Source organism: Homo sapiens, chromosome 3 (genome assembly GCF_000001405.40).
Source record: "Homo sapiens chromosome 3, GRCh38.p14 Primary Assembly".
In the NCBI taxonomy this organism is placed as follows: domain Eukaryota; kingdom Metazoa; phylum Chordata; class Mammalia; order Primates; family Hominidae; genus Homo; species Homo sapiens.
Window position 1 is genome coordinate 64,515,564 of NC_000003.12, and position 23,188 is coordinate 64,538,751.

Genomic DNA, 23,188 nt, shown 5'->3' on the forward strand with positions numbered 1-23,188 from the left:
AAAATCTTCACTTCTTCTCCATCTGGAAACTAGAGACATTTTTACTCCAACTTGACTCAAGAGTCCAGAAACTATGCGAAACACAAATGGTTTGGGTGTGGTGATGTATTTATTCATAATATATTTTCAGAACACATTAATAATGGAGAATAACACTTATTCATATACTGAATATAACTTTTCCTGGAGCACTCTAGAGCTTGTTTGGAGTTGGAGAATACTGCCAGGCTTTTCCTAATCTCTTTGGTCTTTGGAAGTGGGCAGGGTTTCTCAAACCAAGTGTCTTCCATGGGCCATTGGCAAAGGCTTCCCTTCATCAGCTTGGAGGGGCAGAAAGACCATGGCTTCAGCACTTCCATTTTGGAAAGAAGTAACAAAAAAGTGAATTAATGAGCAATCGGAAAGACTCAAAGCATTTTGTACTCCACAGTTCATTTCTTCACACAAACGTCCATTACTGCAGCGGGCATGAAAACCGGCAGGGTGTTAGGCTCATGGCCTGAAGAGAAGTCACATCACCAGCCGATGTTTTCATGCAAAAGGCAATCGTGATGATTCAGAACCTGGTTCTGAATTTCTCCAGGTGTGCTCGTGAGCTGAAGGTCATGCCCATTCTGTGCATCCTGTGTCTTTCTACTGGTAAACTTGGATGTCATTTTAGAGTATCTTGGCAAAATGGTGAGAGGATCTCACTTTCCCAATATCACTCTGTAATGAAGCTGCTTGGGGGATCCTCCATTTGATTGTGGAGAGACCAAGGCACCGTGGGCTGAAGCAACGAATATTAACAACACTAACAACAATAAGGATAAAGTCTAAGTCTCTTCCAAAAAAGGCATATCCAAAAATAAGGGTAAAGAGCTGGTCTTATTTCATCCAAGTGATTCTGTGCACTGGAAATTGTCCTTCCGTTCCTCCCTTTCATTAAAAGTGTTTATATTTCTGAGTCGGATGATCATTTAAATACATACAATATTAGCACCAAGGCAGCATATTTTTTTCCCAGAGATCACATGAAACTGAATACTTATTTAACATAGTTAATAGTTGGTACAATCTGTGATATCACTAACATACTTATTGGCTGATACTTGCCTAGAAATGCCAAAAATATCTTTTATACAACTCTTATAGCACCTTGATGATGGCTAGATTGTTTTAAAAAAATTCATTTTAAAAAAGTAACAATAAAACATTTACAGATGAAAAGTAAACAATAGTGTACCGTGATAATGAAGGATCACTTTGTCATATTACTACATGCAAAGGCAGTCATAATAGAATCATTTTACGTACAAAAATATTACATCACAATAAATAATTTCAAACATAAATATTAAACTTTACATCATTAGGATAGTCTACATATCTACATACACACATATATGTGTATATATGTATGTGTAGATATGTATATATGTATATGTACACACATTTACACACACAAGCATACAAGTCACACACAAACACACACACACATACACATGCACCCAAATTAAGGTGGAGGTATTGCATTACTATCCTTCATCCATCCATAATGGCTTCCTCTTCAAAGCACCTGAAATAAACAAACCAGAAAATATAAACCTTCTGCCTCAAATGCTGCAAGTTAAGAATAGGCAACTGATAAATTTTTACATATAGAATTTAAAATTAACACTTATTATTTTCTCTAGATTTTATTTTTATTTTTTCTGAGTCACAGTCTCACTCTGTCACCGAGGCTGGAGTGCAATGGCATGATCATGGCTTGCTTCAGCCTTGACCTCCTGGGCAAGCAATCCTCCCATCTCAGCCTCCCAAGTAGCTGGGTCTACAGGTGCAAACCATCAAGCCCAGCTAATTAAAAATGGTTTTTTTTTTTTTTTTTTTTTTTGCAGAAATGGGAGTCTCACTATGTTGCCCAGCTGGTCTCAAAATCCTGGACTCAAGTAATCCTCCTGCCTCAGCCTCCTAAAGTGCTGGCATTATAGGCATGAACCACCACGCTGGCCCTAGATTTTAAAAGTAATGTTTGTTTGCTGTAAGAAACTTGGAGGTTTCAGGGAAGTAATAAACAATAAAATTTAAAAACCCACTAGCCTGAAATCCCCCCACCTGAGATAACTGCTCTTCATATATTGGTATTTTGGTATTTCCTTCTAGTCTTTTTTCTATAAATATATGTTTATATATGTAAATATTGTATATACGTGCTATATAAAATTTATCTTCTTAGATACAAAATATATAAAGTACGTATATAATGGTGATCTCTAGTGGATACCTGCTGATTTTTCCATGCCTCCATCCCATCTCCTCCTTTCTGATAACAAAATGCCTTCTTGTCCTTTGGGAACCATCCCTCTTCCAACTGAAGCTGTCAATCGCCTGACTCTAGGTGGGTACATGATCTCAGATCCTTGGATGTTGTGATTTGTTCAAAAGCGACCATGCGACCTAACCAGAGCTAAACAGAGATATTTTGCAGAATGCATGCTAGGAGATGAGTGTTTACTTGAATCATAAGTTGGAAGAATGATGTAATCCTAGAGCTGCCCAGGACCATGGTGTAGGGGGCAATGATCTGCCTGAGAATGAAGACATTTAAGAGGCAATCATTGCTGATTGATGAAGAAAGAGAGTACTGATGACTGAACTTCTGGATCTAGCCATGCCTGAAGCTAGCATACTTCTTGGATATCTCAGTTTCTTAAGATAACAAATTTCCTTCATTTCCTTAGCTCCTTGTAACAGAAATAATCCTAAATGTCAAATAGGCACTCTTGTATCAGGATCTTCAAGAGCCTTACACGGTAATGGGCTACTGGAAGCTTGAGGGAAGATGCAGGTGGGTCACATGAATTGGTTGAGCTCATTCCTTGCAGCTGAAGACATGGGGATGATAAAAAGACTGACCAGTTCCGTCTTTTACTCAGCAGAAGAATCACCTTCTGGCATAATGTACTCAGGTCAGGGATTGCCGAACTTTAACATGCATGACTCCTGTGGACTTTGTTAAAATGCAGATTCTGATTTCACAGGTATAGGGTGAGGCCTGACATTGTGCATTTCTAACAAGTTCCTAGGTAAAGCTGATCGAGCTGATTCTTGGACCACACCATGAGTAACAGGGGTGTGGCACAGTGGAGTGATTAAGAGCACTGGCTTTAGTGTAGGACACTCTGAGTTCTGCCGAGGGAATTTATCATTACCTTTTCATTTTTTTTTTTTTTTTTTTTTTTTTTGAGACAGAGGCTTACTCTCTCACCCAGGCTGGAGTGCAGTGGCGGGGCGTGGTCTTGGCTGACTGCAACCTCTGTCTCCCAGGTTAAAGCGATTCTCCTGCCTCAGGCTCCCAAGTAGCTAGGACTACAGGCATGTGCCAACACACCCAGCTAAATTTTGAATTTATAGTAGAGATGGGGTTTCACCATGTTGGCCAGACTGGTCTCAAACTCCTGACCTCAAGTGATCTGCCTGCCACAGCTTCCCAAAATGCTGGAATTACAGGCATGAGCCACCGTGCCCAGCCTCATCATGATCTTAAGCAAGTTACTTAATTGTTGTGGGCCTCAGCTTCCTCATATGTAAAATAGCAGCTCCTCCACACAGTTTTGTTGTGAGGATTCAATGAAATATTGCTCAACAAATGCCACTGTAGTTTTACTATTACATTCTTGGGATGTATTTCTCAAAGGATGAGCTGTGATTCACTTGCATTAGAATTCTCTGTATTAAAGTTACAGATCCCTGAATCCACCAGAGACCTAATGAAGCAGGACCCCTAGAGATGCAGCCCAATAAACAGCCTTTTAAATAAGCTCTGCAAAGAGCTGGTACCAATCCTATTGAAACAATTTTTTCAAAATCGAAGAAGAGATATTCCTTCCTAACTCATTCTATGAAACCTCTATCATCCTGATACCAATACCTGGCAAAAACACAAGAAAAAAAGAAAACTACAGACTAATATCCCTGATGAACATTGACATGAAAATCCTCAACAAAATACTAGCAAACTGAATCCAGCAACATACCAAAAAGATAATCTACCATGATCGAGTGGACTTTATTCTTGGCAGGCAAGGATCATTCAACATATGCAAGTCAATAAATGTGATTCACCACACAAACAATTAAAAACAAAAACAATATGACCATATCAATAGATGCAGAAAAAGCATTAGATAAAATCCAACATCCCTTCATGATAAAAACCTACAAGGCATAAGACATCAAAAGAACATACCTCAAAATAAAAGCCATCTCTAACAAACCCACAGCCAATATCATACTTAACAGGCAAAAGTTGGAAGCATTCCTCCTAAGAATGGGAACAAGACAAGAATGTGTACTCTCACCACTCCTATTCAACATAGTATTGGAAATCTTAGCCAGAGCAATCAGGCAAGAGAAAGAAAGAAAAGACATCAAAAGAGGAAAAGAGGAAGTCAAATTATCTTCCTTCACTGACAATATGATTCTATACAAAGAAAACCCTAAATATTCCACCAAAAGATTCCTAGACCTGAAAAATGACTTCAGTAAATTTTCAGGGTGCAAAATAAATGTACAAAAATCAGAAGCATTTCTATACACAAATAACATTCAAGCTGAGAACCAAATCAAGAATGCAATCCAATTTACAGTCACCACAAAAAGAATAAAATACCTAGGAATACATCTAATCAAGCAGGTAAAAGAGCTCTACAAGGAGAATTATAAACATTGCTTAAGGAAATCATAGATGACACAAATAGAAAAACGTTCCATGCTCATCTATTGGAAGAATCAATAGCATTAAAATGTCCATACTGCCCAAAGAAATACACAGATTCAACAAAATTCCCATCAAATTACCAATGTTATTCTTTACAGTGTTAGAAGAAGAACTATTCTAAAATTGATATGGAACCAAAGCAGAGCCTAAAAGCGAAAGCAATCCTAAGCAAAAAGAACGAAGCCAGAGGTATCATATTACCGGACTTCAAACTCTACTCCAAGGCAGCAAACTAAAGGTAACCAAAACAGCATGGTACTGGTACTAAAATAGACACAAAAATTAATGGAACAGAATAAGGAACCCAGAAATAAAGCTATACATCTATAACCAACTGGACTTCAACACAATCAACAAAAATAAACAATGGGGAAAGCACACCCTATAATAAATGGTGCTGGAAAAACTGGCTAACCATATACAGAAGAATGAAATTGAACTCTTACCTCTTACCATATACAAAAAATAACTCAGGATACATTAAAGACTTAAATGTAAGACTTCAAAACATAAAAATTCTAGAAGAAAACCCAGGAAATACTCTTCTGAACATTGGCCTAGGCAAACAAATTATGACTAAGTCCTCAAAAGCAAATGCAACAAAATGAAAATTGATAATGGAGACCTAACTAAATTAAAGAGCTTCTGCACATCAAAAGAAACTATCAACAGAATAAATGGACAATCTACAGAATAGGAGAAAACATTTTTAACCTATACATTTGATAAAGGAATAATATCCAGAATCTATAAGGAACTTAAGCAAATCAACAAGAAAAAAACAAATAACCCTATTAAAAAGTGGGCAAAGGACATGGACAGACACTTCTCAAAAGAAGACACACAAGCAGCCAACAAATATAAGAAAAAATGCTGAACATCACTTATCATCACAGAAATGCAAGTCAAAACCACACTGAGATAACATCTCATGCCAATCAGAATGGCGATTCTTAAAAAGTAAAAAGATAACAGATATTGGTGAGACTGCAGAGAAAAATGGAATACACTGTTGGTGGGACTGTAAATTAGTTCATCCTTTGTGAAAAGCAGTTTGGAGAGTTCTTAAAGAACTAAAAATATAACTACCATTTGACCCAGCAATCCATTACTGGGTATATATCAAAAAGAAAATAAATCATTCAACCAAAAAGACACCTGCACTCACATGTTTATTGCAGCACTATTCACAATAGCAAACGTGGAATCAACCTAGGTACCGATTAATGGTGGACTGGATTTTAAAAATGTGGTCTGTATACATGATGAAATACTATGCAGCCATAAAAAATAATGAAATCATGTCCTTTGCAGCAATATGGATGCAGCTGGAGGCAATTTTCCTAAGTGAATTAACACAGAAACAAAAAATCAAATACCATATGCTCTTGCTTATAAGTGGGAGTGGAATACTGGGTACACATGGACATAAAGACTGAAATAATGGACACTGGTAACTCCAAAAGGGAGGAGGAAGGGAAGGGAAAACTATTTATTGGATACTACTTTCACTATTTGGGTGATGGGTTCAAACGAAGCCTACATCTCAACACACTATAACAGTGTAACAAACTTGCACATGTACCTCCTGAATCTAAAATCTAAAAGCAAATAAATAAATAGGCCAGCTCTGTAGAGGGGAAGCCATGTCTAATGGCAGAGAACTGATGGCTTCAGTCACGTGAGGACAGAGGAGCAGGAGATAAAAAGGTAGAACTGTATTGGGTCAGCTTCAAGATGCTTAACTGTAACCCTGCCTGATCCTCCCACATTTGCTCATATAGGCTACAGAAAAAAATAAAAGACAAATACACAGACAGACAGACATAGGACTACTTACCTTAGCTATAAAACTCGCACCTCCAGGCCAGTACCAGAGGATGGAGTGCATTTTCCACAGTAACCACCGCATTTCCCTACGACTCGGGTACCATCCTGCAAGGAGATGCATCATGTTAGCCTGCCTGCTTGGTTAATGCTTTCAGGGCCTGCACTGGCTTTTTGGGAAAACGTTCTTATACACACAGTAAACAGGCCTTCTGAACTGATGTGAAGCCCAACATACTCACCATGGTCTAAAGCAGGGGCTGGCAAACTTCAGCCTGTGAGCCAAATCCAGCCCACCACCTGTTTCTGTATGGCTTGCAAGCTAAGGATGATTTTTATATTTTTAAATAATTGAGAAAAAGTAAACCAAAAATTACATTTCTTGACACATAAAATCATATGAAATTCAAATTTCAGTGTCTATTAATAAAGTTTTATTGGAATACAGCCACATTCATTAATTTACCTGATGTCTATAGCTGCTTTCATGCTGCAAAAAAAGAACTGAGTCTCAGCTTCATACTGCTTCTCGGTGCACAACAAATCACAGTGACATTGTTTTAATTTGAGAGTGTTTTGAGTGATGTGTGTATTGCTAGATCATTACAATTTATGTGCTTATTACCAGTGTATACCATTATGACAAATCAAGAAAAGAAGAGAAAGGTAGACTTTGAATGTTGCACTTTTAAGGTACAATGGCATGTGGATTATTTTGTTATCAAATTTAGATGACAAAGGATTGTGATTATTATGAAATGACACTATAGCTGTGCTAAAAGAATACAATATATATCATCACCAAACTAAATACTCATCACAATATTCCCAACTCACAGAAAAACAATGGTCAAAAATTTAGAAAATTTAAAATATAAAATTAAAAAACATGAAAATGAGTAAGTTTCCAAGTTGCTCATTTGTTAGCCAAGCAAGGAAAACAATTTACCAATGGTGAGTTCATTAAATCCTGTTTAACAGCAACATCTGAAGAAATGTGTCCAGAGAAAATAAACTTAACTACTCTTTTGGCAAGGACTATTGCTTGAAAAGCTAATAGCATTGGGAACCACATAAACAGTCAATTAAAAAAACAAAGCAGATTATTTTGAGTGGTTTTCACTGGCTCTTAATGGGTCCACACATATTACTGATGTTATTCAGGTGTTATCATTTCTTTGAGGAGAAAATGCCCAGTCTGAAGTGACTAAAGAATTAGACTCTATGAAGAGTCTAGTGGAACTAGTGGAATAGTGGAACAATTTGTGGAATAGTGGAATAGTTTATGGAACAAGTACAGGTGAGAATATTTCAAAAAGGTTGGGAAAGAACTGCAGAACAACTGAAGTGGAATCTGCTAAGACGTGTTGACAACTGATGATAGTAAAAATATGTGTGGAGCATAAAAAGCTTTAACTGGACAAATTTACAAAGCTTGCGAAACTGTTAGATGTTTAAAGCCTATGGTTATTCACTGTATTATTCATTTGCAGGTACTTTGTGGAAAATATTTGACCTATCAAGTGCTATAGAACTAGTAGTATCAATAGTGGACTTTATTTTCTACCACGGACTTACCCATCATCCATTTTGTGAATTTTTTTGTCAGAACTGAAAGCTCAATACCTTGACTTGTCCTACTACACAGCAATTTGATGGCTTAGCAGTGGGGTAAAGTTTTATTTTGATTTTTGAGCTCAGGGTCAAGATTAAAGTTTTTTGAACTACAACTGCTCTCAATCACTGTAATTCAACACTTAATGGCTCTGAATATTAGCTTTTGCTTCAGAGTTGATCATGTTTCTCAATGGATTGTACCTAAAATTACAAGGCAAAACTGTTCTTATAGGCAAAACTTATACAGTGATAAAGTAATTTCACTGATAATACTGTTTGGATCACAAGTAACGTTAGATTGTTTTATACACTTCCCATGCTGTCAAAAGTTAAAACAGGAAATGTCTTCTCTATTACACACAAATTTAAAGTGGATATATTTTCTGAGCTTAAACTGCAGTTCCAGCACTGTTTTTCAGACTTTGATATAAATGCAAAGGAAATCTTTTTATGTCAAAATCCATTTAACTAGCAATTGAGGAGCTTCAATCTCATTTTCAATTGCAAGTGATTAATATGCAATGTAGTGACATGCTAAAAGGCAACTATCAAGAGAAAACTCTGATAGAATTCTTTACTTGCCTGCCAAGCCATGAATATGCTTAATTAACATTATATGGTTATGGACAGATATCAGTGTTTGGCAATATCAATGCATGTAGAAAGGCATTTAGAAAGATTGAAATACATAATATCTCATTTCACGTCAGCATTAACAGATAAACATTTACAATCTATTTTGATAATAGAGAACACTAATTAAGCGAAATATTTTCCTCCCCCAATATCCCATTCATCTCCTCAGGTGATCTGTATTAGAAAAAGCTATACTCAGTTATTATGATTGTATTTTGAATTTGACCAATAAAAAAATTTTGTGCAAATTTGTTTTCTCTCTTGACATACAAATATACCATTGATTTTGCCTCTTGGCCCTTCAAGACTAAAATCTTTACTATCTGGCACTTTGTAGACAAAGTATGCCAACTCCTAGTCTAAAGACCTGCGCTCCATAGAGTCTGTCTTTGCCTCTGCAGATTCATCTGGTACCATTCTGTACTCAACACATGCATTTCTTTTTGTTATTCTTCTGATATGTCCCATACATTACAAGGCCTTTGCATGTGCCATTCTCTCTGATTGGAGTTCTCCTCTCTCTCCCTCTCTGTGCATACTGTACCACCTCAATTTTGGCCTGGTAAATTCTTCAGAACTCAGTTCAAAGCCCATTTCTTCTGAGAAACCTTCCTGACCTGGTTATCTGCCGCAAAGCACCCTGTAAATGGGTAATTCTTTCTTTAACATCTGTCTTCCTACTGGAATGTCAGCTCCATTATGACAAGACCAATACCTTGTTAAAACCTGGGAGTATCCAGAACCTACCACAGTGTGTGGCTCATAACGATACGAAATATACATTTGTTAAATGAATGAATGAATGAAAGGCTGAAGCTGAATTCTTCTTTTGGAAGTGTAGTTAAGAATGCCCTGCTGATCAGTTCCCCTTATGCTTTACCATGCTATGAAAAAGTCCTTCTTTAATTATGGCCTCATATTCCATTTTGTATAATAACCATGTCACATAATTCCACCCCTCCACCCTCTGCGCCTGCACAATATTGCATATTTTCCACTTCTGGAAATAACACTATGATGAACATATTTGTGCCTACATTTTAGGATTTTTTGGGGTTACATTCTCAGAACTAAGTCAAAAGTCATGAAGATTTGCTTCACACAGCTGAACTAAGAAAGCCTCTTGAAAACAATGGATAATCTCATTTTAAAAAAGGAAGATGAATACAAAAATATAATTAGAATAAATAAGTTATAGTATTTATTTTATTTTTATTTTTTTGAGACAGAGTCTTGCTCTTGTCACCCAGGCTGCAGTGCAATGGCGCAATGTCAGCTCACTGCAACCTCCACCTCCCGGGTTCAAGCGATTCTCCTGACTCAGCCTCCTGAGTAGCTGGGACCACAGGTGTGCACTACCATACCTGGCTAATTTTTGTATTTTTAGTAGAGACAGGGTTTCACTATGTTGGCCAGACTGGTCTCGAACTCCTGACCTCAACCGATCTGCTGAGATTACAGGCGTAAGCCACCGTGCCCAGCCAAGTTATAGTATTTAATAGTACAGTAGAAAAATTATATTTACCAATATAATATAATATAATAAACATTTATATAAAATTTATGTATAAAATTTATATAAAAATATTTTATATATTTTATATTTATATAATATAATATATAGTATAATGTATTATAATCTTATGTGTGATATGCTATACTATATATTATAATAAAATAATACAATATATAGTATATATTATTATAAATATATTTACTATAGATAGTTAACAATAATTGTATATTTCAAAATAGCTAGAAGAGAAGAATTGTAATGTTCCCACCTCAAAGAAAAGATAAATGTTTGAGGTGTTGGGTATCCCACTTACCGTGATTTGATTATTACACATTGTATACACGAATCAAAATATCACTAGTATAACCAAAAATATGCACAACTATGATATATCGATAAAAATACCAAAGAAAGAAAAAGAAAAACAGTGCCAGTTTAACAATAAAATAGGATAAAATAGTTTCTCTTAATTCTTAAAAATTCGTAGGCATTTGATGATGAATGGAACTGAGTTGGGAGAGTTATTTCTATCCTCCCACCTGGTCTTGGTTTTAGAGGCCTGTGGTAGTTCTGGAGCTGGCCCATACCACCAGCAACTGAATTTGATGCCAGACTAACTGGTCTTCAGTGAAGAACTTTCTCACCTGGCTTAAGTATAGGGCCAGGGCCTTCACGATACAGGCAGACAAAGAATGTCTTCTGTATCATCAAAACTTATGCTTTACTCAAACTCTCCTGACCCAGCAGAGGAGCTAACCTGAATCAGACTGCCTGGAGCTTGTACTACATCTTGAACAACCTCTTTACGCCTCAGTTCCTGGTACATCTGTAAAATAGGGATAATAATAGTACCCCATCACGGGTTTGCTGTAAAGGAGATAATGCATGTAATGTGCTTAGCATAGTACTTGGCCTAATATATGTGCTCAATGAATATTAACTGCTATTATCATAAAGGTATTTTTAATGTGTAAATATCCATCATAGCCTGTTTTCAGGGAAATGGGTAAAAGTCTGGGTAATTATAAAACTATAAAATTTAAAAAATAAAGCCAATACTGGATTTATACCATTATTGCTATCTCCTTAAGTGGGATTCCATTATTTAATTTAGATAAAGGCTGAGCTAAAACTTATTGATCCTAAAGAATAAAAACAGCCACACGGAGCAAGTAAATACCAAAAACCCAATTGTCAAGCAGACAGTGACTATTTCAGAAAAGAAATATATTAGAAGCACCCACTCACATTCCTTAAAACACTAATTTTTATTTCTTCATTAAAGCAGGCCTTCTAAAAATCTCTTTTCGATGATTATTTTGTTAGCCTGGTTTGAGCTATTACATATAATTAAATGAATGAATCTCTGTTCCATTAAGAATAGTTTGTATTTCATACTTTTCACTAATTCTTCTATTTTTTTCAATCTATATGAGGAAGGCAGATTGGCTTCTTTGATTTAGGAAGACCAGCATACCTTTGACTGGAGTGTGCTAATTTAAAGACTTATTTAAAGTTGTCAGAGGATGCTGGTGGTAGAAGCAAGCTGAGTTGGGGGTGGAGGTGGGGATTTTGATAAGAAAATCCATACAGATAGTAATGAACAGAGATTATAATGATTATGGTATAATGTTTATAATGATTATGGGGCTAAAATCTGCCTGGGTCAAGATTACATGCAATGAAATTTATCGTTGAATGTCCCTGAAATTGCCCATAAAACACAGCATATAGGGTTTTTTTTTCTGAATATAGCCCTGGACACTTATGTATATATGAACATATGCATAAATGTCTAATTTCTATAGGAATATACAGAATAAAAATTAGACTACCTAAAATGTAAATGTACAGCATTTTACTCTACTGGTCTGTGGTATGATTTTTACACTTGGTGGATAGTTGGATTTTCATAAGCTGACAGCAAGTTCGGAGGCAGCCCAGGTCGAAACATGAGAGTGGGCTGCACTGAGCATGTGTGTGTGTACACATGTGTGTTTATTTCAGGTGCCTGAACTCCACTGTTTGCAAGTGAATTGAAGGATAGGAACTGAATCCATCTCTTCTATGGTAACACAACTTTCGTTATTTTTTAACTTCAAAGCAATTCTTTGATTTACAGCCCTTGCTCTAGCCCAGGAATGTCTGTTAGACCATATCTCTTAGAACAGTGGCCCTAGTTCTTCCCTGACCCTGAAAATTCCTCTGGCACACAAGGAAGACAAAAAGCCCCGTAAGCGCCTCTCACACCCAGCCAGGACGTGATCATCCTTTCATGCTGCCTGTCTCTGAAGGCCTATTCCAGAATCTTCTACCTGGAAGAGACCAAAATGGGTAGCTCTGAGAATGGGCATGGGGAGCTGTGGTGGAATTCTGGGTGGGGCTGAAGGGAACTTTCACATTCCCACACGTTGGAGAGTTGAGGGTATACAGCGTTGCTGGCAGAGGAGCTTGAAATTCTGACATTTTCTTTCAGCCTTCATCTCTGGGCCATGGCCTCCTTTCTGTCTGTCTGTCCCTCATGCAGATATCTAAGCAGAGTGAGGAGAAACTTTACGACCCCTAGCTGAGCTGGTGCAGCTAAAACATTTGCCCTGAAGTCCACCCCCAACCAAGGGGTGTCTCACACGACTTATTCCTGGGGTCAGGTGGCAGCCATGTGGACAGGCTAAGCCCGGGCTTACACTGCAGTTCGATGTCCTTCCCACCAGCTATCTCAAGCCAGCTCCCTTCCTTAGTCACCTTGGCCAACTTCCGAAACAATATGGCAAACCTCAGGGCTATGAAAACGTTATAACATTAATAGCCAGTACTTGTGCTCCTGCTATTTGCCCAGTAGGATACCAACAGCTTTACATTTTTATTTCATTTATGTTTCACAATAAGTCAATGAGAAAGGGGCCACTACAGTCCCCATTTTATAGATGAACAAACTGAGTCCCCCCTCTCCCCACCCCCATTTTCCTGGAAGTTAAATAACTTGCCCAAGATGGCAGAGCCAGTGGGCACAGACTCTGGCAGTCAGATTTCAGAGTCCACGTGCTTCACCTCTGGGCTCTGCAGCCACTGACGGTTTTCACTGTGGCACCAAGGGCTGAGTTGCGGCAGGTTGGAGAGGCTGATCCCACCACCTGCTCAACTTAACATCCCAAGAATTTGACCTTATTCTCACCTTGTTATCCCAATCTCCTGGTGACAGCACAGCTGGGAGGAAGACACAGATTTAATGTATGTAAGCTGCCCAATAAATAGTAGCTATTTTAACCATAATTAGGTTAAAACCAGAGAAAGAGTGCTCTCCATTGTTCACAAGGAAGTCAACAGTGAACTTGATATTGAGACTGATTTTGACCAGTTCTGCTCTTGGAAGTGAGACAGCGTTACTGTTCTTCAAGTGGTACTGGAGATCTAGTTTTACCTGAATCAATACAGCTTTCCTTTAGTTTTGCTTGGGGAAAACATTTTATTGCCAAGGAGGTTTGGAAAATTGAGGTTTTCATTTTTTTTTTTCCCTTCTGTAACTCCTGGCAGAAAAGCAAAAGAAAGTGAGGAATGATTATTTGAGAGCTGAAACAGGGCTATTTGGAAAAGAGAGTATTATAACTGGCCAGGGTCTGAGCATCCCAGAGAAGACTGGGCCACAGGCCCTCGGGGGCCAGATCGTAGTAGGTATCGAGTGGGAACAGGATATGGCACAATTCTTGAAGTGTGTTTCATGGAACCCTGGTTATTTGGGGGAAATTACAAGCTGTAACTTCGAAAAGAAGTTTTTGTGCTTGGCTTCATTTAGGTTAGTGGTTCTCAAAATGTGACTCCAGATCAGGGGCATCAGCATCACCAGGGAAATGGTTACAGATGTCAATTTCTGGCCTCTCCTCAGACTGATCATGTGGTGGGTTTTGTTTTGTTTTGTTTTGAGATGGGTCTTACTCTGTTGCCCAGGCTGGAGTACAGTGGTACAATAATGGCTCATTGCAGCCTTGACCACCCAGGCTCATCCTCACCTCAGCCTCCTGAGTAGCTAAGACTACAGGTGCACACCACCACAGTCAGTTATTTAATTTTTTTTTTTTTTTTTTTTTTGTAGAGATTGGGTCTCCCTGTGTTGCCCAAGCTGGTCTTGAATTCCTGGGCTCAAGCAATCCTCCTGCCTCAGCCTTCCCAAGTGCTGGGATTATGGGCACAAGGCACTACATCTGGCCACCTGCTTGTGTTTTCACAAGCCCTGCAGGTGATGGTGAAGCACTCCTGAGTTTGAGAACCACTGCTTTAGTGGAATGCTGGCTAAAGTCACACAGGTTTATTTCCTGTATAATTTAGTCCCACCTCACATGCTAATGCTTACTGTGACTCTTCAGGAAGGAAATACAATATACTAGCATTTTCTCCCAAAAGTGTTGGGCGGTGGAAGCCTATTTTCAGGTAGCATTGCTAGGACATGCTTCTCTGGACCACACGGGGGAAGTCAGACAGCATTTCTCCAGACAGCCGGGGGCTAGAGAGGGCTCAGTCCCAGCTCCCAGATATTCATGAGGAGTACTCGACAGGCCCTGGAGATTAATTTTGAGCTCACACTCTCTGAACTGCCAAGGAACACCAAGATTTAAAAAAAAAAAAAAAAAAAAAAATGCCGACAGGCAATTGTCATACCCAGCTCCCTCCAGCCCAGGCATCTCCCAAAAGTCTTGGGGAACAGCCAGTGTAGTGATCATTCTTTCCATAAGGTGGCGCTCCTGGCTTTAATTATTTTTAGTTTCTGGCTGAAACGGTAGTAACTATCTAACGAATAAAATTATAATTTAGGTTACAGTTTATCTACATGGGTTTCCTACAATCACATTTTTATTTATTTATTTACTTATTTTTTTAACAGAGCCTCACTCTATCACCCAGGCTGCAGTGCAGTGGCACTAGACAGGCAAATTTTTTGGTTCTGGGTCACTGAAACATACAGTGTATTTCAAAACATCATGTTGTACACGATAAAAATATACGATTTTTATTTGTCAAGAGAAAAGAAACATAATGTATAGATTTTGGAGGGAAGGAATGGGGAAAGAACATTATAATTTCGGGGCACATTCTAAAGCTCATGCACTCTCTCTCAGCTATCTTTATTCCTTTCAGTGCAAGGAAAAATATTTAATGACTAATTTACAAGTAATCAATATGACTATTTAGTTAATCGGATTTGAGGACATTGATTGGCTGAGATGGAGAAGAGAGAGAGTGAGATAGCTTTTTTTCACAGACACAAACTTAATCATGGCAGCTAGAAAAAGAGATCAGGAAACAGATTTTCCTGGAATGTCCCAATTGGACGTTTCTCCTCTTTCTCAGGTGAGGGAGGCAGGTTGAGCTGCTTTTTTATAGTCTTATTTTGATTAGGTAGAAGTATTTGCAATAGGGTTTTCAGATTTAGAAAATAAAAATACAGGATGCTTGGTTAAGTATGAATTTCAGATAAACAACATATACATGTTTAGTATAACTATGTCCCATGTAGTGATAACAGTACACTTATTGTAAACAGTGTTCATTGTGTACTTAAAAAAAAAAAAAAAGAGATGGTGTCTCACTTTGCAGCCCAGCCTGGAGTGCAGTCGCGCAATCATGGCTCACTGCCCTCTTGACATCCTGGGCTCAAGGGATCCTCCCACCTCAACCTCCAAGTAGCTGGGACTACAGGCATGCACCACCATGCCCAGCTAATTTTTAAAGTTTTTGCAAAACCAGGGTCTCACCACCTTGCCCAGGCTGGTCTCGAACTCTTAGGATCAGGCGATCCTCACTGTGTATTTGAAATTCTAATTTAACTGGGTGTCCTGTATTTTATCTGGCCGTTCTGCCTTGTAATAAAACCCTACTTTCCCAGCTCTCTTCTTTGTCTTCCCCTATTTCTGAGGCAACCCCAGGCAGGGCTCCTGGCTGAGATGGGACGGGAGAAATGGGCCATGCCTGGGTAAACTTAGACATTTTTCCACGAGCCGGGTTTCTGCCCCACGTTCTCAGGACTTCAGAGGGAAGGCTGTAAGTGGCAGCGGTTTCTGACCTGGCTGTACATTTGAATCATTTGGGGAGCTTTAAATTCTACTCCTGCCAGGTCCCCCCACCCTTAGAGATTCCGATTCAGCTCATCTGTGTGGGAAGGACCTGGGCAGGTGCATTTAAAAATTCCTCAGGTGATTCTACTATACACCCACGGTGAGAAACAGTACACAGTCGACACGCTCCTCAGTTTACAATGGGGTTATGTCTCAATAAACACATCGCAAGTTGGAAATATCATTAAGTCAAGAATGCATTTAATATATCTAACTTTCTGAACATCACAGCCTAGGCTAGCCTACCTTAAATGTATTCAGAACACTTGCATTAGCCTATAGCAGGGCAAAATCATCTAACACAAAGCCTATTTTATAATAAAGTGTTGAATATTTTGTGTAATTGATTGAATACTGTACTTAGTGAAAAACAGAACGGCTGTATCGGTACCTGAAGTAGGGTTTCTACCGAGCGTGTTCTGCTTTTGAACCATGGTGAAGTTGAAAAATCAAGTGGAACCGTCGTAAGTCAGGGACCATCTGCACAGCACAGTGTTTCTCAAGCTGTACTGTGCCCATCACCACCTGAGACACTGTTCAGCTGTAGACTCTGACTCACTAGGGTCTGGGACCCAGAACCTGCATTTCCAACGGGCCCCCAGGTGACACTGATGCACTGCGTAGACCACACCTTAACCACCCAGATTTTAGAGGGTGAAAAACTTATTATTGTAGACCCTGTGTATCTCTAATTCTCCAGATATATCGCTTAATAAGTTATCTGTCTTCTAGCTCCATCTGTATTTCAATTTTTCTAAATAAAAAGAAGAGGTCATTTCCCCTCGGTTCATAGAACGAACCGCAAGCTGGCTAACTGAAAGATATCTGAGCCACACTCTCGACAGAGGCTTCTTCCTGCTTTTACCTCCCTGGTTAGGTGGTTTTTCTAATTACTTGGATGGTTCATATGTTCACCTCTCGAGGAAGAATTCACCAGAAGTGAACAAGGCTCTCACACTTTAATCACGTGTAAACACTGCACCCTAGGTTTATTTCCTAAATGGTCTTCCTGACACTACAAAATGGCTTAAGTGGGAAAGCACATTCGTTTGCTCCTTCAGCACCACTACCACAGTAATAAAGACAAGAACGAAAGAAAGAAATAAAAATTCATCTCCCAACCCATCTGTAGAACCTTACCGGCGACTTCTTGATGTCAGAGACAGCATAATTCCCTTGTGATATCCATCTGGCAGATTCAGTTAAAGACAAGCCGGTTCCATAAAGGTTGATGCTAAAACGACCCTGGAAAACACGACCAACAAAAGAGATTTTCAGTCCATGTGATGTCCTCAAAAAAGCAAAGGCAAAGGTGATACAATAAAAGGTACTTTGGAAAAGAGAAGGATGTTGATTAATTGTGATAGCTACTAATTATTGATAGTATTTAGTTTTGTTTGTTCAGGGCCAGCCATTCTTCATGCATCATGTTAGTCATCCTCGAAAGAGCTCTACGAAGGAGGTTTTCTTTACAGATAGGGAAACTGAGGCTTAGCGGAAGTGATTAACTTCTCCAGGATACGGTAGGAGTCCAACTCACATCCTCCTGACTTCAAAGTCCTTGCTCCATTCGGCCTCCCTAACACAGCAGTCCTGATGTTGCTCACAATTATCAGATTCCTTCAGGAACAAAATGTCACAGTGTAATTTTTCTAACAAGATCTTGGTGCCAAGCTTCCTGGGCTTCCAGCTCCCTGGGGCGATTAGCACACCGCGTACTAAGCACAGCAGGGCGGGACTTCAAAGAAGAGGCGCTTTCCCCAGGACGGTCAGCAGAGGGCAGGGTTGGCCTGCTCAAGACCACCTGGGCCTGGAGGATGCGGCTTTCAGGCTCCGGTAAGGGAGATCTCCCAAACCCCTCCCCTCCGAGGGTGCCTTTCAGAACATGGCCTCTGGTGCCTCAATATTGATTTCTAAAGAGACGGTGCAGCAGAAAGACCCTCTCGCTGCTTTCTCCAATTGTCTCTCTCACTCTCTCTTTCAAAAATGACTCGCAAAGGCATCTGAAATACTTTCTTCTTGAGGCTTCCTACTCCACAATGAGCAGTTTCAGAGCTAAAAATATTCCACATGAACACTCCTGATTGCTTTCTCTCTGAAACTGACAAACCAGCACTTTGTCAAAACAGTCTTTTATAAACAAGAAGAGAGGCAAGGAGGAGCTCACAGCTGATCAGACCCGCGTGTAAGAAAAATTCTTTCACCTGTGATTGGATCCTGGCCAGATCTTTTCTCACCTCTTGGAACCTCAGTTTATTCATCTGTAAAATGGAAAGCACTAAAACTCTCTTCCCTCTGAGCACCGTACAGAGGACTAAAAGAAATCAGCTATGGCTGGCGCTTAGTAGATATGCAAAAAGATGGTATCTGTCTTACATTTTCTAATTGTTTTGTAAGTGTTCGTGTGATCTCTTCAATGTAACAGTAAGCTTATTGAGAGCAGGGCCTTACTATTGCTTTGTTTATTGAATCAGCTATGGTTTGTAACATACGACTAGCCACTTAAATATTATATCCCAGCTCCTCAATTAAGATTTCCAGGACTAAGTGTAGCTTAGAGGTCTCTCAATGCCAGTTCCATAAATATTGACTAACAAAAGTTTATAAACACTTCTGGAGTGCTAGATTCCACAAGATAGAGGTGACCAGAGGACTTAGTTTGGACTAAATCAGTGGTTCTCAACAGGGCACGATTTTGACCCCAGGGGAAATCTGGCAATGTCTGGAAACATTTTTGTTTGTCACAACTGTGGGGGGGCAGGGAATGGTGCTGCTGTTGGCATCTGGCGGGTAGAGACCAAGGATGCTGCTGCGATGCACAGGACAGCCCACAATAGAGAATTCTCCAGCCCGAAAAGTGCTGAGGCTGATTGAAAACCTGGTACAAAGGGTAGATTTACCCTAGAATCTTGCTCCCTTCTTTACTTTCAGCATGACCTCAGGCAAGGAGATCATCTGTAAAATGGATTAGTAAGACTTAACCTGTGAATAGGAGGTGATTAGACAGAAGGCACAATGCACGTCACGCATTACCTGGCAGACAGTAGGTAATATTTAAAAAATATTTTTGGGCTGAGTGTGGTGGCTCACACCTGTAATCCTAGTACTTTGGGAGGCTGAGGCAGGTGGATCACCTGAGGCTGAGAGTTCAAGACCAGCCTGGCCCAACGTGGTGAAACCCCATCTCTTCTAAGAATACAAAAATTAGCTGGGCATGGTGGTGTGTGCCTGTAATCCCAGATGCTCGGGAGACTGAGGCAGGAGAATAGCTTGAAGGCAGGAAGTGTAGGTTGCAGTGAGCCCAGATTGTGCCACTGCACTCCAGCCTGGGCAACAGAGTGAGATTCCATCTCACATATATATACATATGACATTTTTATGACAATATGCTACAGAGGTTCATGGTTCTTATGTGGCATGGCTGCCATGCTCAGGTGTTTTTGATTGTAGCTGCACTGAAGCCCCCTCAGACACCGGATTCTGTATGTTGCATTATTCCATTGGCCATTTTCTTTTCTTTTCTTTTCTTTTTTTTTTTTTTTTTTTGAGACAAGGTCTCACTCTGTCACCTAGGCTGGAGTGCAGTCGCATAATTTTGGCTCACTGCAACCTCTGCCTCCCGGGTTCAAATGATTCTCCTACCTCAGCCTTCTGAGTAGCTGGGACTACAGGTGTGCACCACCACGCCCAGCTAATTTTTATTTTGGTAGAGATGGAGTTTCACCATGTTGGCCAGGCTGGTCTTGACCTCAAGTGATCCACCTCCCTCAGCCTCCCAAAGTGCTGGGATTACAGGCATGACCCACCGCACCTGCCACCCCCTCCCCCCAAAATTTTCTTATCTTACTATCATTCCTGCCCCCAGGAGTGGGTCCACATAACTCAAAGTGCCCAGGCCATCCTAGTGCCAAGAATGTCCCTCTTTTCTCCCTCCATTCTGCTTTCCACTCAGACTGCCTGTCCCACCTGCACTGCAAGAGAAAGGAGACTTGATCTGCTTTGGCACTGAAGTTTTCCGGAGGTCCAGGCGGCTGACCCAGCTTCTTTCTGGACAATGCCCCCAGCCGACCTGGGCGTCCAGTGTCTGAACATGCTCAATATATACGTCTACTAAGTCTGCCTTCCCAGAGGGGTTGATGAACCCAGATGCAACAGGAGATCATCCTCCTCATTCTCCTTCTGCCCTTTCCAGTTTAGGGATCTGCATTTCAGCAAATGTCCTAGCTGATTGTTAGCACTCTGAAAGTTGAGTTCCACCAGAGAAGTAAAGACCTAATGTTCTTTCTGGCTCTGCTCTGGGACATCTTTGCCCTTAAAGGCCTTATCTTCAAGGTCTAAAGGGCACATGAGTTGTAAATACCACCTTCTGTTGCCTATTCTAAAGAAGAGTGATTGAGAGTTATACGTTTACTAGTTGGTCCGTAAAGGTTTGCAAAAGATGTGCTTAGACCAAAGGATAATCCTGTTTTCTGTTGTACAGGAGCAAATGTTGCAGAAATCTTGCCTGAAAACAGAATCAAAAAGACATGTCTACTATCATGGATATGAATTCAGACACACTTAGGTTCAAATCCAGACTCTACTGAGCGGCAGCTGTGTAGGTTTGGGCAAATCCTCCCAATTTCTACTCCTTACCCTCCTCCTCTTTAAAAAGGAGGCATTTTCATAGAATACTGTGGTGATTTAAATGCTACATTGAGTAGACAATACTGAGTACAGTGACTAAAGCAAAGACGCATAATAAATGCTAGCTATTAATACCATCAATAATAATAGTGTCACATCTACTGTCATCAGGATAAAAAATATTCTGGTTATGTTTCAAGATGAGGGCTGTCGGGGAATCCACTCTTATTAATAAATACATCCACAAAGCAATAGTGGTCAATGAGGTAAAAGAAAGAAATTCTCAAACACAACATCATTCTGCTTTGATTTCTGTGCAATCACTAGGTCAAAGGCTGAACCACCTACTCCGAAGCAGTCTCCACAATCACGCTTTCTACAAACCTTTTCCTGGAAAACTGATTTGAAAAACTCACATCTTGCATCAGTGTAGCTGGTGCTCAATATGTGTCTAAGGAATTGAATTCTTAAAGTACCCAATATGGTTTGAAGAATGAGCTGGGAAAAAATACAAATTAGCCTCTCTCAAGCTTTGGGTTTTCTCATTTAGGAATTGCTTCATTGTCAGGATTTAGCAAATCAATCAGTTCATTTGTCTCTGAATTATTAAAATAAATGAATGCAAGTTACTTTTCATTTACTTAAGCTTCCCAAAGGATGTGCATATAGAAACAAGAAAATCCTGAGACATTTGAAAAAGGCAGGACAGGGCCAATCTGTTAGCCACTAAAATGCAACAGATACCAATGGGGTTTTTGAAGCCATCAATTGCCCTAAAAAAAACTGTACTTCAAAAGTTTTTGATTCCTGGGTAATGGAAGAAAGGCTCTTTTTACCATTATGTCCTTTGTTTATTTTCCTTCTCTCCTGAGAGCTTCCTCTCCACTTCTCTAAAACGTTTAGCAATGCTCTTCTAAAGCTTGAGGCCGAAAAAACGCCTCGTTAAAACAACGTTCAGATGTGTTTGTCTTCGGACGTTCTCTGTAGTTGGGGGTAAATCCATCCTATGGAGACAGGGCTTGGGATTCTGAACGCGTCACAGAATCCCAGTCTTCAGACTTTTGAAGGTTCACAGGCAAAGTAAGAAACTCTTGACAGAGTTTAACAACAGCTTTGTGAAGACCTCCTTTAAACCTAAGAGAAAACTGGCCAAGTTCTCCTGCCCAGAATCACTGAGTTCATTATGTTTGTCCTGCCTTCCAAGGGCAGAAGCTTCTTGTAAAGACTAACGTCTGCTTTGCAAAATTAGCCCGAGCTGATTATGACAAAATGTTTCAAAAGACAAGCTAAAACTTGCCACGCCTCTCTCAGGCAAGAAAGTGTAGAACCACAGAATGGGCAGAAAGATTGCTGCTGAGTGGCTCCGCTGAAAAGCCATCCAACAGAAGATGATGAATTTGCACTTCTGGTCCGAACACTGCAGACGTTGTAGAACTGAAGTAGGGGTAACAGGTTGAGTCAATGACATCCACAGAGCCGCAAGCCTTGGTCCCGGAGGACTTCTAGAATATATTATTATCTCATGGATATTCGTTAACCTGTCATCCTCTCTAATAGGCTACAGATTTCTCAAGGGATGAATGTTTGTGAGTCTCCAGTAAAAAGGATGGTGCCTGGCACAAAGTGAGCACTTGAGAAAGGTCAGCTGTTTTGTTGCTAAGACTATTCTAGAGCCATTTCTGACTACCATTCAGGAACCAAAGGAAACCCAGATAAGTCTTGAAAATTTTGAGATCTCCCCGTCCAACTTTTATTTATTTTTTTAAAAATTGGTTTCATGCTTACTCTGAAAAATTTAGGAAACCCGGCAAAGTTAAACATTAAATTAAAAAAAAAAAAACCTTACCAATGCACCCAACTAATATTTTGAAAAAGTCCTTCCAGACTTTTTCTGTTTATACATTAAAAGAAAATACAGATGGGATCATACTGCATGTAGTGTTTTGCATCTTGTTTTTTCTGTCTAATCCATGTAAAGTGTTTTTCTATATCATGCAATATTCAGATTCATAAAGGCTGACAGTGGTGTGTTGGCACGTGCTTGAACTGGCTTTTGAGAGTCAACTGTCTGCCTTCTTCCTAGCCCTCCATTTAGTGACA

At 39.6% G+C, this 23,188-nt stretch overlaps 1 protein-coding gene across 4 annotated transcripts in view; it reads right to left on the minus strand.

Annotated features, from left to right (window-relative positions):
- Positions 1 to 90: 90 nt before the first annotated feature.
- ADAMTS9 (ADAM metallopeptidase with thrombospondin type 1 motif 9) overlaps positions 91 to 23,188 on the minus strand; it is a 172,347-nt gene continuing 149,249 nt past the window's right edge. For 2 of the 4 annotated variants that reach the window (XR_007095711.1, XR_245151.1), the window contains 4 exons: positions 17,603 to 17,707; positions 6,603 to 6,697; positions 2,267 to 2,449; positions 91 to 1,558 (listed from right to left, as the gene is read on the minus strand). Coding sequence is in view for 2 of the 4 variants with exons in the window: in NM_001318781.2 (NP_001305710.1) it covers positions 6,608 to 6,697; positions 17,603 to 17,707 (195 nt within the window). In the remaining 2 variants the exon portion in view is untranslated. The remainder of the gene's footprint in view (positions 1,559 to 2,266; positions 2,450 to 6,602; positions 6,698 to 17,602; positions 17,708 to 23,188) is intronic. The other 2 variants (NM_001318781.2, NM_182920.2) reach the window with 1 other exon arrangement.